Consider the following 20061-nt stretch of genomic DNA (forward strand, 5'->3'; position numbering starts at 1 on the left):
CTTGCAAGAAAAGAAAACTAGATATTGTAGAGGTTTGATACGATTTCTGAAAGACAGATGGTGAACTCCACTTAGCTGACACACAGTCAAAGAAAGACAGTGGCCTCTTGTGAAAAGATTGGCAAATAAATATATATTTATATCTAATGGAATATACCTTTTTTAGACAAGCAAGTATTTTTTCATGATTGCACATGCTAAATGAATTTTTCCATAAAGGAAGCTGGTTCTATAAATATGGTTCATTTACTATAGTGTTATGATGACTAGAACAAAACAGTAAATGATTTAACAATTAAGACAAGAAAGTGATCACTGTGATTTCTCCTGGTAAGAGTCTTTGGAGATGGTGTGAGCCGAAAGAAGATGCCAGAAGGATGGAGGGTGGTGAGCAGTGGAGAGGACACACGGGGCAAAGAGACCTCAGCAGCTCAGTGTCTCCAGGAGGGGATTCATCGGGCACACTCAGTGGCCAGTCTCTGTAGTGACTCAGTGGCCAGTCTCTGCAGTGAGCATTTCATGTTGAAAAACAGAAGTGCGTGAGGTCAGAGCATTCAGTGGAGTTTAAACTCTGTCCTGTGGGACCAAGTTGCCATCAAGGATTTGGGAACAAAAAGGGGAAAAATGAAAGTGATGTTTTAAATAGAAGGATAGCTCTGGCAGACAGAAGAGGTCAGAGGGTTTGGATGTGAGAAGAAACAAGACACAAGGAGGTCATTTAGGATGCAGATATGACAATACACTCATGATACCATAATACACTCATTGCTTGGGAAGGGGCAGGAAGAATAGAGGAATTTCATAAAAATTTGATACACTTAGAATAGACATTTTATACTACAGTTAAAAAACTTGATATCTAGGTTGCCAATATAATATCTTTTAGAAATGTAGTACCCTTTCAAAACATGTTAATTGTGATGGCACCAACTTAAATTGGTACATTAAAGTGATTAAGCGTTCCAATTAAGTTTTAGAAAATTTAACTTTGATCTATGCATTTTTATATTCCAGAGAATGACAGTTTTTATAATACCTTATTATGCCAGCTTATGAAAAGATAAAGATTTTATTGAAATTATAAATGACACTATTTTACATCTGGTATAATTCCTACTTTCACTGCAATGCTATTTAAAGGATATTCTCTATAACATAATGCCATATCCTTTAATAGTCTACTTAACAAACATGATGTGTTTGGGTGTCTATCTGAGAATGAAGTTTTCTCTTGTTGGGGAGGTGAGGGATACTTTTTGACTCTTCAACTGAATTCTACCAAGAGCCCCTGATGAAAAACCCACGTGTCCAATCAGTTATCTTCGCCTGATGATTTATGTATGCGTGAATGCAGTGTTTCTCATTGCACTTTGGGGTCATTGGGGTTTCAGTAGCATAAATTCAACACAATCACCAAAGAATAAGAGGGAGTGTGTGTGTGTGTGTGTGTGTGTGTGTGTGTGTGTGTATGAGAGAGAGAGAGAGAAAGGAAAAACTTCAACCAATTTACTGTTTATCTGCTTTATACCTTAGGGCAGGAGTAAGCTTTGACTCAATAAAGTAATTCTCAACACATTGACATGAGAGATATCTTCTATAATGTGGTGTCATGTGGATATAGAGAACAGTTTGTGATAGAATAGATATCAGTCAAGAAACAACAGCAACTCCACACTCATGTTTGAGGGCCAGGAAGAATGGAAAAATGAATTGAGGGAACTGATAAAGAATGTACATAGTGAGACCTCATCTCTACAAAAAATAAAAAAAAATTTAGCCAAGCATGGTGACATGTGCCTGTAGTCCCAGCTACTTGGGAGGCTGTGGTAGGAGGACTGCTTGAGCTCCGGAGGTTGAGGTTGCAGTGAGCTGAGATCGCACCACTGAATTCCAGCCTGGGTGACAGAATAAAATTCTGTCTCAAAAAAAGAAAAAAAAAAAAAAAAAAGCACAGGGCTTTGAGCTTATCTTGAGCACGTATTGGAAGACATCAGCAGCTGAAGTAAAATGCCCTGGGCTGGAAACCAGAGGAGAAAGCTAGGTCAGACACTCTGTTAGGAAGCTTTGGGTGGGTGAGTGTTTGCCAGTACAAGCTGCCCTTGGAGCATTGACAAAGAGGATGGCACTTTGCTTTAGTCTGAGAGACCACCTAGACACTATAGAAATATGGGTGTCCTGGGACAAGGGGGAGAATCAAGGCATCAATGTTAGTTTGGATAAATATACATTTCTAGTCTGCTTTAGGATATATGTGTTGGGTTGTGAGATCTCTTACACTTTGGGAAATTGAGCTTGTACTGTAAATGATAATCCAATTGGGTGAACATCTTGAAGAGCTGGTGTAAAAGACAGTTGTAAGCCAGGGTTAAAAGAAAGGTTTTAGTTCCAAGATCAAAGGCCAAACAGGGTAATCTACTCTTGCTTGTTGGTTGTTGATGTTAGCTCTGCCCCGCAGTCAATATGAGAAGCCTCTTAGTTGAAAGTGACTGAAGTCTTTGTATTTCCTTTCTAAACCCTCTTACAACTGGAATAATATAGGCATTATTTCCTTAAGAGGACAAGCACCGTCTAAATTCTCAAAACCTTATTAACCATATTTTTAATGGGATTTATCTTTTTTCATTTCTCTTTTATATTCAATGTTATTCTTTTCCATATACTTATTAACATAATTTTTCTATGTTTACACAGTTCATACTATACATTATTTATTTTAATTTGTAAGTAATTTTCTAAACTAAACCTTTTGCTACATTCATTAAACTCATTTTAAAAATTATTATAATCCCAAACAAATATACCTATAACTTTAATATAAAACCTTTAAAATTAAATGTGTAAATCGATACCACTCAAAAATTAGACTTTTATTTTATTATCCACTGAAACAAATTTAAGATTGCTTATAGCTTTAGAAGTGAAGTAAATTTTTTACTCATGTATTAATATCTCATCTTAGTTCAGTTTATTATATAATGTGTCTTTTTTTAAATAATCTACATTTCTTTTAAATCTTAGTGACAAAATCGCCACTGGGTCCTTTGATAAAACTTGTAAACTCTGGAGTGTGGAAACAGGAAAATGTTACCATACCTTCAGGGGTCATACAGCAGAAATAGTGAGTATATTTAACAATTTATTATTATTTTATGTATATATATATATTATTTTCTTTGAGATGGAGTCTCACTCTGTCACCCAGGCTGGAGTGCAGTGGCACAATCTTGGCTCACTGCAAGCTCCGCCTCCTGGGTTCATGCCATTCTCCTGCCTCAGCCTCCCGAGTAGCTGGGACTACGGGCGCCCGCCACCACGCCCCGCTAATTTTTTGTATTTTTAGTAGAGATGGGGTTTCACTGTATTAGCCAGGATGGTCTCAATCTCTTGACCTCGTGATCCACCCGCCTCGGCCTCCCAAAGTGCTGGGATTACAGGCGGGACCCACTGCACCTGGCCTTATTATTATATTTTATGTTGCTGTTTCTTTTTAGGATTCTATTATAAAAGTAGTGGGGCTACTTTTATAATTAATTTTCAAATTCTACCCCATGTTTTTAGTCTGCCTATATTTATATGGTGGTACCAATACAATTTAAAAATTACTCTAGTTAATATCTTGCAGATTCTGTAAAGAACTGTATCCTACATTGACTAAGTAGACACGTAATATGATAAATTTATAAATATAATAACCAATCTTACTTTTTAATTGGCTTTTCTTTAAAGTACTGACTCAATGAGGGTCAATTAAGTTATGAAAACAGTTTTTAAAATAATTTTTAAACTACTATGTGAAATATTTAAATATTTAGGCTGATTGTTTTCTGTATATCATTAGAGCTCAAATTTGCCTAAATAGTCTGATACTCGAAACAGCTTTCACTATTGGGAAGCCCTTGTCCTTGACCAATTCTGAGACATATCTGATAACAATTAGTGCAATAATTGGCATTCCATAAGAACAGATGATAGCTCTTAAAAATAAACAGGCTGCTGCTCCTAATGATTAGTAATACCTTAAATCTTTTTAATCAAAGATTTAAATAAGGAAAAATTGATCTGATTTTAACAAATCCCCAAGTTATGTTTTGGTCTGTTAATGGGGATCACACCTTTCCCTCCATTTCTGGCCTTCATTAGGTAGAATGATTCTTTAGATATTTAACTCACTAACTTTGTTGTACTTTGAAGTTACTCTTAAGTGGATAATACCAAAAGAGAATCCACAAATAGAAGGTACTCACTTTACCAATGCAGTAGTAGTATAAAAATAATAGAGACTTTTGAGGGTCAAAGAGAGAAAAGGCTAAAGCAGGAAACAAAATATAACCACCTCTCCTGTAACTGTCAGTAGGGAAATATAGCTCAGTACTTTTTGAATTGAACAGAGACATAAAAAGAATGTGCTAATAACTATTAGTAGATGAAGAGAGGAAATTGATAACAAAGAGTGACAGGTCTTTTAACCTCAATATTCACTGGAAAAAAAGATACCTGCTGTGAACCAGAAAGAGCAAACAAGAACATACAGGGGTGGAGGGAGGAAAAGCAAGCCACAGTGGCGACAGCTTTTGTGAATAGTCGGTGACAGCCGATCTGCCAGCAGTGTTCAAGTGCTAGCACCCACACCCACCCCTGGAACTTAGGAACAAGATACCTAGAACAGACTGTGAAATGCTTGGAAATATGTCTTGAGGATAAGGAAAGTACCTGGAGATGGGAAAGGGTCCTGTATTCTGCTTATTTATGTACACCTTAAAACAGGAACAAAAACAAGCTGCTTATTTTAGAAGTAAAATTTATTTACACTCATCCTAAAAATTCATGGTATATTCATCCATAAAGAACTCATGCTATGTTGAAGTTACTTTGCTAGTGACTGGAAATACTGCAGTGAAACATAACTGACCCTTTGACAGCACTTGCTGTTTGAGAGGCACTGTCCTAAGCCCCTTTACATAGACAGGTATTAGCTTAGTTGTGCCTCATAGCAACCCTAAGAGGAAGGTATTTTCCCATTTTACAGAGTAGGGTACTGAGGCATTGAAAGCTTAAGTAACTTGCCCAAAGTCAAAGAAAAACATAATGTGTGTCCTTAGAGTGTGACCATTTTTGCACACTCCTTTAGATTTTGGGGAATATTTTCTTTAGATATAATTCCTAGGGAGACATTCATCTTTTTCACAGTCAACAACATCCATCTAATAAATATTTATTAAATATTGACTATGTGTGGAGCCCTGGCCTACATGCTTAGGGTATCTGAGAGAATCAGACACAATTCTTACAATTCAATAGAAGGAGTAAAAGTGTCAATGGATAAGTTCAAAGATGTGTTGTAAGTGTCAGAAGTGGATGGGGATTTCAGTGTGGACACAGAGGGAGCAGTGTGGCCTCCTGAGCCAAGGAAAGGTGTTCAGGAAAGACTTCCCAGAGGGGTGGCATGTGCATTCCAGGCAGACCGAGCAGCCCTGGAAAATGCTGAGAAGAGGCATGCAACAGTGATGTGTGCCTGAAACTCAGGTGGCTCTGTGTGATCAGAGCAGAGCTTCCTGACCCTCCATGTGGTGGCATGTGCAGAATATGTGAATGTGGATTTGCAGCACACTGAAGGGAGCTGCCTGCTGTGCATGGCCAGAGGTGATGGGCAAGGATTCCTGCTGCTGCCCAGCTGCCTGAGTTAAAAGTGTCCATGCCTTGGCACACCTATAGCCCATTCAAATTCAGGTCACAGGGTGTGAGCAATTAAAGTAGGAGAGGCAAGCAAGGGCCATAGTATGCAGGAGGTTATATACTATGCTAAGGAATTGGATTTTATTTTGTAGGTAATGGCACACTGTTGAGACTTTTTGACTAGGAGATGGTATGATCAGCTGTGCTCTTTGGAAAGATTATTTCTGTGGCACTGTGAAAAAGAAATGGGAGGGTGGTAAAATCCGAGTTATCAGCCAGTTGGGGATCTTGCTGAAATCCACGTGAAAAATGATGAAGACCTGTTGTAAAGATAGATGAAGAGAATGTGAGTAGAACTTGGTTACTAAGTAGTTATGAGGCATAAAAGAAAAGGGGAACCCAGGATGGATTCCCTGATTTTGTGTTTGCATGATGGGCAGTGCCATTCACCAATTCTGTGCATAAAAGAGGAGCAGGTTTGCATCTATATGACTTTTGTGTCTTAGATTGATATAAGCTGCCTGTGTGATAGCCAAACAGAGGCATCCATTTAACAGTTGGCTCTTTGGGACTGGAACTGAGCAGTGAGGTCTGGGAAAGAGACTTGGATGCATGAGTCACTGGCATCTGGGTGGCAGTAGAAACCAATGAGCAATTGAAATTGCCCAGAGGAAAATATAGAGTATGGAGAGGGACTGACAGAATCTTGGGAGGATGGAGAAGAGAGAACTTCAAATGATACAAAAAGAAAAAAGAAAAACAAGAAGAAAGGGAGGGAAACTAGAGAACAAAGGATTCAGTGCTGCAGATATCAGGGAGGTTAAGCGGGATGACCGACCAAACCTGGATTGGGCATTTAGCTGGAGTGGTTTCAGAAGAGTTGACGAGTGAGCAGAAGATGGACAAAAATGATGGTAGACTGTTTCCCAAGAAATTTGGTTGTAAAGGAGGAAGAAGAGTTGCTAAGAGGGGTACATAAGATCAAGGGAGGATTTACTCAAACATATTTACAGGCCACTGAAAAGGATCTAGTCTACAGGGAAGGAAAAGTTAGTGGGTGCATCTCCCCTAGGTGTACAGGGAAGGGGTTCTTAGAATGGGCGGAAGGATGCCTCTACATCCGAGACTGAGGGGAAGGAAAGTAAGATCAGGAAGTTCCTACCTGACAGGAGAGTTTTCTCAGGGAAGTGGAAGGAGGCCAGGTTGTCTGTTGAGGAGGGGTGAGGATGGAAGTAGAGGCAGGAGTGGGGAACAGGAGAATGTATAGAGCCAGAAGCATCTTAAGCAAAGTAGGGAACAGTGCTGAGGACTCTACTGAGGACAGAGGCATGAAAGAGCAATACTAGTAACTTTCTGTGCTGTTCTCTTAAGCTACCTTGGCTGGGTGATGAGGCAGGGAAGCAGGTGGTTGGATAAAATCCTTGCCTGATAAAAGTTAATGTTAGCAGTTGGTACGGAAGGTGCATCAGATAGATAGGGGCTAACAGTGTCGAGGATACTGGGAGGAGTGATGCTTCCGGGGTGTCAGTTGAATGGGGAGGATGGACCAGGAGAAAAGGCAGATGTCTCAATGAGATGAAAGATCTTCTGGGGGAGGGGAGTGGGAAGGGAAATTTTGACCCTGGATTGGTGAATTGGTGGTGAATCTTCTAGAGAAGATAATACTAAGGTCCATGGTGTGGCCATGGGAGAGACTACTGAACAGTTGTCCGGGGCATGGGTCTGGGGGAACTGGATGGATTGCCCACGTGAAGGCCACCTAAGACTTGGCATTGAGACTACAAGCCAGTAGTCTCTTGATGAGTGAGGGGCTGTGATTGGAAGGACTGTGGTGACAGCAGCAAGGAGAAGGAGAGCCATATAGCACGGATCTTAAAGGAGGTGGGCTTCACTTTTGTTCTTGTTCTTCTGTGGTCTGGAAGTGGCAAAGGGAGCTAGTGCCCCTCCAAGCCTTAGCTGGGTGCTGTGGGAGAACAAGCAGCCTCTTTTCAAGAGGAGGACTCTGAAGGACTCAACCTGGGGGTAGCAGGTCACACATACGTGGGGTTTTGTACAAAGAATTAGATGGAATCTGGTAAGGTAATTGCATCTGGAAGATTTTCTGTGTATAATTAACACTTTGAAACTCTGTCTTCCTAAAATTTCTCCCATTTTATGTAATTTAGGTGTGTTTATCATTTAACCCTCAAAGCACATTGGTGGCGACTGGAAGTATGGACACAACAGCCAAATTGTGGGACATTCAGAATGGCGAGGAAGTTTACACCTTAAGAGTATGTCAATAATGTTAATAAGCCTGTTATTTGTGTTCATTCTTATTTGTGTTTTTGTTACAAAATGAGCTCTAAGTTGGAGGTTGTTGAGTTGCTGGTTTTCAAATTTTAGTGGTGAAAGAGTGTCCCTACTGGTTTCCTGGCTATTCCAAAAGACTTGGGTGGAGGTGCTGGGGAAGTCCAAGGAGCTTTTTATTTTGACTAACTTTAGTCTGCAAAACACATAAACTATATCTTAGAACCCATCACCATCTCTCTGGCTAAAAGGAAAGCAGGTGGAGGCTGGCACTTTTGGAAGAGGCAGAACTGGAGAACCATGACAAGAGAATCCTTAGAGCAATGACTGTGAGCACACTCTCCTCTGCCCGCTGGTCTTTCAGCCATCCTGTATCACAAAAGTCTGAAATGACAGAGGGGCAAGTGACCAGAGGGGAAAAGGCCAAAGGGCTCTGCCCACAGAGTGAGTGCTGTGGGGCATGCTCTTGTGTGTCACCACCATGTGCCCAGCACCTCCCCGCCATCTGTCACTCTCCCCTTCCTCCCACCCTCCCCTTCCTCCCACCCTCCCCTTCCTCCCACCCTCCCCTTCCTCCCACCCCAGCCCAAGTCACTGCAACAAAACTAGAGTGACCCTATGTTGTAATCAGCAGGAACAGCCAGATGGGAAATTCAGTTTCCTTGTCCTTTCAAAATTATAAGTACATTTTTAAAAACATGATTTGTTTCCTCAGAAAGCTTTTTCTAAGCAAGTTAAAACATGGACTGCAAAAGAAAAAAAATCACCATTTTAAAATAACAGTAATGGCTTTTCTTTCTTAAATCTGAGTATCTAGCATTATTAGTGTAAGTATACTCTTTCTGTTCTCAGTTCTTTTTTCGTTTTTTTTTTAAATCATTACTATCTCTTCCTTCAGGCAAATGTGCAGGGAAAGGTCCCCATTAATGCCACACTTTCAACTAAAATGACTCCTTTTACAGACGTGCCTAAGAGCACTCAATGGGAGGGGTCCTGCTTGGCACACCTGTCTGCGCCAGAGAGTGAATTTGTTTTGCGTACTTAGAATTCGAATATTCAACTACATTTCATTTTGTCCTTTGAAATCAATCAGAAAAATCAAGTTATAATTCAACTTTTCTAATTCTTTGTATTATTTAAAAGTATACTTATGTTAATTTACTAAAATAATGAAGGAATCAAGGGATATATGTACTCCAACCAGGATCCCCTTATCAGAGTTCCAGAATCTGCTGTGGAGAGTGGTTTCTTCCCATTATCTTACAGTTTGATTCACTAACACTAGACAGTAACCAGCTGAAAGTCAGGCCAAAGGCAGGAATTTATCAATCGATTTCATGTCAAGTTATCTTAATAATTTCCTTTTTAAAAGTAATTAGTTTTATTTCATACACTGTTTACTTTTGCATACCATGTGTTATTAGCCCATGGCATCCCCTGCTCTGTAGTGTTTCCAAGGCAGTGTAAAGGACGTCCTCTAGTTTCCCCAAATACAACCTCTTTCTTTTGTTTTTAATCAATATTATTAAGTTAAATGAACTAGCTGTGTGTAAGTCACTAATTTTTAGTAAACTCACAGTATTGTGCAGCCATTACCAAAACCTAGTTTTCAAACCTTTCCATCACCCCAAAAAGAACCCTGTGCCCACGTGCAGACACTCCCCATCCTCACCCCAGCCAACCGCTGACCTCCGTTCCTAGAGCTCGGCCTTCTCCAGCATTTCCTTTTAGACTATGATATTGTACGCTTGCAGAAATTGTTTTATCTGCAGGTATACTTGACAGTATCTGCTCTTTTTCTAGGGACATTCTGCCGAAATCATCTCCTTGTCATTTAACACCTCAGGAGACAGAATCATCACGGGGTCTTTTGATCATACCGTTGTAGTGTGGGACGCTGATACTGGAAGGTAATTCTTAGTTCTTAAGAATTGTTTTAACCTGGATCAGGGGGTTCAGAAAACCCTCTGTTATTTTTTAGTTTAAGCTACTATCTATTAACTCTGCTTTGGATTCCATAAAAATAGGACATATTGAAAATGTAAATTAATTCATTCTTTAATGATATTTCTGATTCACAAAATATGTGCATTCTTTGAATTCTGAGCAAATAATGACAAACAGCAACATAAAAGGAGAATGTTAGCAATAGTCTGGTTATATAGCTATTATTTATTTCATGGATAATCAGATTTCAATGGCTTGTCATTATGTTAGGCAGGAATATCATGTATAAATAAAAACTCTTAGTTAATTTCCCAAATTAATTTAGTCCAAGAACTTCAATTTCCTTCCTAATGATTTTTGGTCCTAGTTGCTAGGAAGTTAACTAAATTAGCATATTTGTGTTGGAAAACTCTACTCTTGGATTTGTCTGTGATTTAATAGAGGGGCTAATTATCAGGGGTGCCAACCAAGATGTATGCAACAAGAAATGATAGAGGAAGAAGGACCTTTCAGTTACTTGATGTGTAGTTTCTGAACAACCAGGGGTGCACTCACCCGGTGTAAGACTACTTCTTACGGCCTTTACTATTTGTTACCCATGTCTTTTTGAAATGTTGCCTTAAGTAGCATTATTTTGATAGTTTAAAATCTAAGTACATTTTTGTTGAAATGAAATTATTTATTTAGTTAGTTAGTTTTTGAGACGGAGTCTCGCTCTGTTGCCCAGGCTGGAGTGCAGTGGCGTGATCTCGGCTCACTGCAAGCTCCGCTTCCTGGGTTCACGCCATTCTCCTGCTTCAGCCTCCCGATTAGCAGGGACTACAGGCGCCCACCACCACGCCTGGCTAATTTTTTGTATTTTTAGTAGAGACGGGGCTTCACTGTGTTAGCCAGGATGGTCTCTATCTCCTGATCTCGTGGATCCACCTGCCTCGGCCTCACAGAGTGCTGGGGTTACAAGCGTGAGCCACCGTGCCCGGCTGAAATGAAATTATTGGTAGCTTCTTTTTGAGCAATAGTAGAGCCATATTTGTCATCAAATATATTATTTTGTAAAAACCAGATTTTAGATTAGCTTACACAGATGGGCTTGGCCTCATTATTCATGTGCATATACTGAAGTAAGATATCTTTCACTAGTTTTAATTATTTTTGTGTTGTAGGAAGGTAAATATCTTAATTGGTCATTGTGCTGAGATTAGCAGTGCCTCATTCAATTGGGATTGCTCTCTAATATTAACTGGCTCTATGGACAAAACCTGCAAGGTGAGCAAAATAAATAAATATCTTTGCTTTATATTGTGTCTATACTCTTTACTGTGTCAGATATCCATTGTAACATTAACAGATTTCAAAGATGATATAAAATTAAGATATTAATTTACAAAAAATAGTTGGTAATTTTTAAAATTTCTAGTTTTGGATTTTCCAAATTTGAAGGAATTGTGATGTAGTAAAGCAATTTGAATTGCTTCAAGTATATTAAATATCTTATTTGAGAAGGCATTTTATTTTTATTTAATATCCCACTGTTCATTTATAGAACTTCAATTAGTAGAGTGACCCTCAAGGAGCCTCAAACACAGTGTTTCCTTGTCCCTAAGTTTCTATACTTAAAAAATGGTTACTAAGAGATTATACTATGGAATTATCATTTGTTTATGTAACAAATATAATCTTATAATGTACTTTCCATTTTCTGACATTGTAGTTTTATATCAAGCTCCTAATCATTTGATGTCCTTCCTATAAAAAGAGCACAACTCTTCACCAACCAGTAAAGCATACACGTTGAGATATTTTTTCTTTCTTTAATGTAGTGGCAGATTCTAAATGTCTGACTTTGGTTTTCTCTGTGACTAGAGTGTGCCTTGCTTGATGGTTGGCTGTGGTCTCTGGTCATGAATCAAAGTAAATCTAACTGAACATGCATGAATTACACAAGTGATTTTTGCACAGTTATTTAACCAGCCATAAGCATGTCATGAAGACCACTGGCCATCTTCACACTTCAGACAGAAAGTCATAGTCTTTTTTTTTTTGTTTTTTGTTCTTTTAATTGTAGCTGTGGGATGCTACAAATGGAAAATGTGTGGCAACCTTAACAGGCCATGATGATGAAATACTAGACAGCTGCTTTGATTACACTGGAAAGCTTATTGCAACTGCTTCAGCTGATGGTAGGTGATCTGTTCATTCTTTTAATTTTTGGAGAGATTTATGCTTTGCTTGATAACCATGCATAATTCTACACTATGGGTCATTTCTTTGATGACCAGCTATGATAAAAAACCATGTCTCATCTCTATCGTGACCATGTATGGCACAATAGTGTGTCTATATCATATACCTGATAACCACATGTAATGTTATGCAATGTCTGTGTCACCTCCTACATAACGAGGTATATGAGGTCTTTGTCATCTTCTTAATATCTGTATATGATGCTATATTCTGGGTCATCTCCCTGATTTTTATTATTATTATTATTTTGAGATGGAGTCTCACTCTGTTGCCCAGGCTGCAGTGCAGTGGTGCGATCTCGGCTCAACGCAACCTCCGCCTCCCAGGCTCAAGTAATTTTCCTGCCTCAGCCTCCCGAGTAGCTGGGAATACAGGCATGCACCACCATGCCTGGCTAATTTTTGTATTTTTAGTAGAGACGGGGTTTCTCCATGTTGGCCAGGCTGGTCTCGAACTCCTGACCTCAGATGATCCACCTGCCTTGGCCTCCCAAAATGCTGGGATTACAGGCGTGAGCCACCGTGCCCAGCTTCCCTGATGATTACATATGATGTTACCCTATGTTGGCCTTGTCAACTTAATTACCATCAATGGTGCTATAATCTCCTTTACTATAACCACATGTGCTGTTCCGCTATGTCTACTGCATCTTTGTGATAAGCATACATGATGCTATGCTATACATTGTCTCTTTGATTACCACTGTGATTCTACACTATGTGTCATCTTATTGATAACCATATATAGTGCTATCCTAGGTGTGCTTCAATCCTGTGACAGTCACATGTGACACTACACTATATCTGTCATCTCCCTGTTGCTCACATGTGACATGATATTGTGTCTGTCTTATCGCCTAAGGATCATGTTTATTTCTACACTGTATCTGCATCATCTTGTTGAAAGTTGCATATTATGCTATACTGTGTTTTCATCTACTCCTTTAAAACCACATTTGATGCTGGGCCATATCTGCATCATATCCTTGATAATCATATATGATGCAAAACCATGATCATCTTGCTGACAAATATGTATGATACTAACACTCTGTCCACGTCATCTCGTTGAAGCCACATGCAATGCTATATGATGTTTTTATTATCTCAGTGACGACCATCTGTGTTGGTGTACTATGCATGCATCATGTCCTGGATAACATTTTATGATACTGAACAACAAGTCATTCCCATGACAACCATATATGATGTTATATTATGTGTCATCTCTTTGACAAACATATGTGATGATTCATTGTGTCTGCACTATTTCCCTGGCAAGTATTTATGATGCTACTCTATGTCTGCAGCATATTCCTGAAAAACATGTGTTAACACTATACAATTTCTACATTATCTCCCTGACAATTTCCTATTTTACACTAAACTATGTCTACACCATATCCTTGATAACCACATGGTACTATACTATGTCTCCATCATCCTATGTCTCCTTGGCAAGCATATGTGATGCTATACTAAGTCTATGTCATATCGACATCACATACCATGCGTGATGCTATTCTGTGAGGCATAGAATTTGAAGTATGAACTATGTGTCATCTTCCTGAAGATACAGATGATGCTAAACTACATCGATACCATCTACCTGATGACCACGTGTGAAGCTACACCAAGTCTGTTATCTATCTGATGACCACATATGATGCTATATTGTATCTATGTCATGTATCTGACTATGTTTAATTTACACTGTTTTTATCCTCTTTATAATAATGTATGATACTATACTGTATCTTTATCCAATTATTTATAACCATATATGATACTATTCCATATCTTAGTATTTCTTAGAAATCCATGTATGATGCTATAGTATTTATACCTCATTGCCCTGGCCAACATGTCTGCAGGGTCCACTATATCACATCACCACCTTTAGAAAGGTGGTGATATTATCTATCTATCTATCTATCTATCTATCTATCTATCTATCTGTCTGTCTGTCTGTCTCCTATTGGTTCTGTTTTATACTATATATAATTTTATGTATTTTTTATATTATATATTTGTACATTTTTATATATTATATATTTATATGTATTACACTATATATACTATGTATATAATTCTGTTTATAGTATATATAGTATATAACCAATAGTATATAAATACACACACACATATATATAGTATATAACCAATATTATATAAGTATACACACACACATATTTATATATGAAGGCTGAGAAGTCTTGCCATATGCCATCTGCAAGCTGGAGAATCAGGAAAGTCAGTGGTATAATTCAGTGTAAGTCTGAAAACCTAAAAACTTGGGGGGACCAATGGTGTAACTCTTAGTCTGAGGCCAAAAACTTGAGAGAACTGAGGAGGGCACTGGTGTCAGTCTTGGAGTCTGGGGATCTGAGAACCAGAAGCTCGATGACCGAGGGCCAGAGAAGATGGATGTCCCAGCTCCAGAAGAGAGAATTTCATCCTTCCTCCACCTTTTGTTGTATCTGGGTCCTCAATGGATTGGATGATGCCTGCCCACATTGGTGAGGGTGGCTCTTATTTACTCAGTCTAACATCCTCACAGACACACCCAGAAACAATGTTTTACCAGCCACGTGGGTATCCCTTAACACAGTCAAGTTGACACATAAAATTAACCATCACAATGCCGCACTGTGTGTGTATATCCTGTTACCCACATATGACATTATACTACATCTGCATCATCTCCCTGACAACCAAATACAACATCGTGATGTTTCTGAGGTATCCTAAAACATGTGTTATGCGTACCTTATTCTTTGATAGTCATATATGATATTGTACTATGACAATTTCCTTGATGATCATGTATGATGCTATATAATATATGCATCATGGCCAGGTGTGGTGGCTCATGCCTGTTATTTCAACACTTCGGGAGGCCAAGATTGGAGGATCGCTTGAGGCCAGGAGTTTGAGATGAGCCTGGGCAACATAGTGAGACCCCATCTCTACAAAATTAAACAAAAATTAGCTAATTAAAACAAAAATTAGTCAGGTGTGGTGGCATGCACCTGTAGACCTAACTACTCAGTAAGCTGAGGAAAATAACCTGAGCCCAGGAGGAGTTCAAGGTTACAGCGAACTATGATTATGCCACTATAATCCAGTCTGAGTGACAGAGTGAGACCCCATCTTCTTGATGAATATATTTGTGGATGAACACACACACACACACACACACACACACACCCCTCATATTCTAGACAGCCATATGTGGTGTTACATTATTTGAAATGTATTGGACAATGATGTGTGATGTTATATTATTACTATATCACCCCTTTAACAACCCCATAAGATGCTATATGTTACTTTATACTATTTCGGCATCATATTCATAATAACCATTTATTACACTAGGCTACAATTAATCTCCAGGACCTACAAATATGATACTACACTATGTCCATGCCATTTGGAAAACAGGGTATGATGATACAATATTTTTGCATCATTTCCCTGACTACTATTTATGATGCTGCAGTATGTCTGCTTCATTTTCATGATAAGCACCTGTGACATTACAACATATCTGTGTCGAATCCATGGTATCTTCATATGACACAAAATTATGTGTCATCACCCAGATACTTTTTTTCTGCATCCAATCATCCATGAGACCCTGATGTCTTGTATGAAACTATGCTATGTGTCATCTCCCTGATAACATATAACACCGCCCTATATCTGCATTATCTCTCTGACAACCTAAGTAAGCTTATACTATTTTTTGAGCCATATCCTTGACAATTGTATATGAAGCTATACTATGTCTCATCATGTTTTTGGCAATGGATGAAACTATACTATGCTTGCATATATTTAAGAATCATGTATAGTTATATATATATGTATACACATACATATATATGTGTATATATACATACATATGTGTATATATACATATATACATATATACACGTGTATATACACATATACACGTGTATATATACATATATACACGTGTATGTATAAGCATATATACATATATACATGTGTATATATACACATGTGTATATATAAAATTATACATGATTATATATATTATATATATATTACATTCTGAGATATTGTGAATTAGGACTTCAACATATGAATTTTAAAAGGACACAATTCAGCATATAATAGCACATATGACATACTGTGTGTTTGCTGCTTCTGCCTGACAACTGCATATTATTTTATGTTTTTATCATCTTCTTGAAACCACTTATATTACACTGTAACTTCATCATGCCCTATACAAAGGGCTGTGCTATACCTTATGGGTGACATGGCCTAGTTATTTAAGGATGATGCTATAATATATTTACTTTGTCTCCCTGATGATCATTTTATTTGTAAGAACATGTTTTCATCCTCTCCTTGGCAACAACTTATAATTTCTCCACTATGTCTGTGTCATTGCCTTGATAACCACATGTACTTTCTGTATCATCTTTCTGACTACCACATATGATGCTGTATAACGTATGTGTTATATCCCTGATATCCACATGTGATGCTATCTTATCTCTTACCTCTCTTTAGGACCTTTATGAGATTACACTATGTCTACATCATCTCCCTGATGACCACAAATGGCAGCTACATTACATATGTGCCATCTCTCTGACACTTATGCCCCTATACTATCTGATTCATCTTTCTCATGACCATATATCCTGCTTCACTATGTATAGATCCTTTCATGACAACAATATTTGGCTCTGTGCTGTGTCTGTGTGTCTATACTGTGCTACGCTATGCTCTACTCTTCTATGCCATACCATACCATACTATACTGACTTATGTGTGTACATTGTCTTTTCTGGAACCAAGTATAATGTTACATTCTGCCTCATCTCCATGGTCAACATGTATGATGTTATGCTATATCTATGTCACCTTCTTTCTCTTTTTCTTTTTTTCTTTGAGATGGAGTCTCGCTCTGTCGCCCAGGCTGGAGTGCAGTGGCACGATCTTGGCTCACTGCAACCTGCGCCTCCCAGGTTCAAGCGATTCTCCTGCCTCAGCCGCCCGAGTTATGTCACGTTCTTGGTAATCATGTTTGATGTTATCCGGTGTGTTCATCTCTTTGATCACTGGACGTGATGCTAAACTATGCCTGTGTCATCTGCTGTCAACAATATGGTATGCTACATGCTGTGTTCCTTATCTTCTTGATGATCATATATAATGCTGCACTGTCTAGTATGTCTGTTTCATATCACTGGAGGTCTGGACATTGCTACACTTTGTGTTTGTCATCTCAGTGATGACCGCCTATTCTGCTTCATTTGTATTCTTCATTTCCTTGAAAACAAAAATGTTTCCCTATGTCTGTGTCACCTTGTTGAAAACCATACATAAGCTATACTGCTGTCATCCCCTACCTGTTAATCATGTAGGATGGCATATTCTGGGTTATCTCCTTGATGATCATATAAAAAGCTGCCATGTGTCTGCAATGATAAACATGATAATTGTGGATTGTGCTCTCATACGTTTGCATCTGTATGTCTTAGACAACTATGTATGCTACACTATCACTCCAAATTTCCTTGGCAACCATATATGATGCCACATTTTGGGTCCTATCACTGATGGTCATGTTTGATGCCCCATCCTTGACAGCTATATGTTGTACAATATTATCACTGCTTATAGCATCATAAATGTTACAAAGGAGCTTGAACATTTGGCAAGCATGTATATTGCTAAACTATTTCTCTGTCATCTCCTTTACAATCGCAATCATGTATGAGTCTGTACTATATCTGAATCATCTCCTAGATAACAAAGTGACATGCAATTTTAGGATTCATCTTTCAGAACCTCGCATGAGAAGATCATCTTCTTGATGATGATTTGTGACACTATCCTTTGTTTGGGTCTTGATATCACCACATATTGTGTTAAAACATGACTACATAATATCCTTCATATCGACATGTGATGTTATATTATGTGTACTTCATTTCCTTAATAACTATAGATGATATACTAAGTTACCGCCTTTATAACCATGTGTTATATCTCCCTATTTCTGAGTCATCACCTTGATAACCACATGTGACATTATACTGTGTGTTTCATCATGTTGAAAATCACAGATAATGCTTTTCTCCTTGATAACCACATATGATGCCTGATATTTATATGGACCAGCTCCTTTGTGACATTTATGATGCCATAATATAGGTTATTTCCATGAGGAAAACCCACAGTGCTGCATTCATGCATGTCGTCTCCTTGATATTCATGTATAATGCTATCCTATGTGCCATTTTAAAATTCCCATATGTGATGGTACTCTACATGCACATCATCCCACTGATAACCATGTGATACTATACATGTGTCATCTCCTTGGCACTGTGTATGGTTCTAAAATCAATCTTTGTAGAATCCTTGTACACCACATATATCCCTGTACTATGCATATGTCATGCTCTTTATGGCCACTGAGATGCTACAGTGTCTCTGTCATCTCCCTGATCATCATGTATGACATTACAACATGTCTACACCTTCTGCCAGAAGACAGTCATCATATCTATCTATCTGTCTGTCTGTCTGTCTGTCTGTCTGTCTGTCTGTCTATCTATCTTCATCATCATCATCATCATCATCTATCTAATCTATTGAGAGAGAGAGTCATATATCTGTATCTCTCTCTCTCTCTCTCTCTCTTTCTTTACATTAGGTCTATTCATGTTCCTAAAGGCCTTTATAATGCAACAATATTTCTGTGGCATTTCTTTGATAAACACATAGGACCTCACATCACATCTGTGTCTACCTCATTTGTTTGATAACCGTGAGTGATGCTGTACTATGTCTGCACCACCTCCTTGATAAACAAATATGGTGCTATACTGTGTCTTCATCATCTATGATCCTGTACTGAGGATTATCTTATATTTTGGGTCATTTCTCTGACCATAATGTATGATGCTACAATATGTCTGCATCTTAAACTTGATAACCGTGGCTGGTGCTATAATACTATATGCACCATCTCCTTGATAACCACCTATGATGCTATACTATGTATACCAAATCTCCTTTACAACCATTGATGATCTATGTTATTTGTCATAAGTAGTGATCTATGTTACTTGTCATAAATAGTGATTACTACTTATGATTCTACGCTGAGCCATCATATTGATATCCATATGTGATGCCACTCTGTGTCATCTCTTTGGAAACCATGTATGATGCTACACTCTGTGCACCTTATATCCAAGAAGATTACATATGACGTTACACTAGATTATGTCATCCCCCTTATGCCCACATTTGGCATTGTATTGTCTGCCTCATCTCACTGATGATCACTTATGAGGATACATGATGTCTACTTCACTGTCTGCATTAACATGTATTGTGCTACATCTTATCAGGGTCATCACCTTGAAAACCACCTATGATGCTACATGTTTTCATCACCATCTTGAAATTTATGTTGGAATCAATATGATATCTGTCTTAGATAATGTCGTACTAATATATGTCATCCTTTTAATCACATGATATGTTTACATCATTGATAATCATATATAATTCTAGGCTATAGGCCACCATGACAACTACATGTCATGCTATACTATGTCTGTATCATCTTTTAACATACTACATATATTGGTACATTATGACTTTTTCACCTCCTTGAGAGCCATGTATGATACTGCTGTACTATGGCTAAACTCCCTGATGACAGTGATGCTACATAATGTCTGCATCATACCCTTGACAAAAACATATGGTGCCACACTCTGTCTGCATCATAATTTTATTAAGTATGTGTTATGGTATAGTATTACTGCAGCACACTTTGATAAATATATGATGCTCTGCTTTTATTCATGTTGTGTAGTGATGTAAACTATATCTTCATCCT

General features: G+C 38.2%; 1 protein-coding gene across 4 annotated transcripts in view; it reads left to right on the plus strand.

The window, feature by feature from the left end:
* DAW1 (dynein assembly factor with WD repeats 1) overlaps positions 1-20061 on the plus strand; it is a 52714-nt gene that overhangs the window by 23533 nt on the left and 9120 nt on the right. For 3 of the 4 annotated variants that reach the window (XM_047443536.1, NM_001330004.2, NM_178821.3), the window contains 5 exons: positions 3019-3118; positions 7839-7946; positions 9766-9872; positions 11073-11175; positions 11975-12089. In XM_047443536.1, the coding sequence (XP_047299492.1) occupies positions 3019-3118; positions 7839-7946; positions 9766-9872; positions 11073-11175; positions 11975-12089 (533 nt within the window). Of the gene's footprint in view, positions 1-3018; positions 3119-7838; positions 7947-9765; positions 9873-11072; positions 11176-11974; positions 12090-17090; positions 17307-20061 lie in introns of all 4 variants that reach the window. The other variant, NR_138459.2, reaches the window with a different exon arrangement.

The sequence above is a fragment of the Homo sapiens genome, chromosome 2 (genome assembly GCF_000001405.40).
Source record: "Homo sapiens chromosome 2, GRCh38.p14 Primary Assembly".
Classification (NCBI taxonomy): Eukaryota; Metazoa; Chordata; class Mammalia; order Primates; family Hominidae; genus Homo; species Homo sapiens.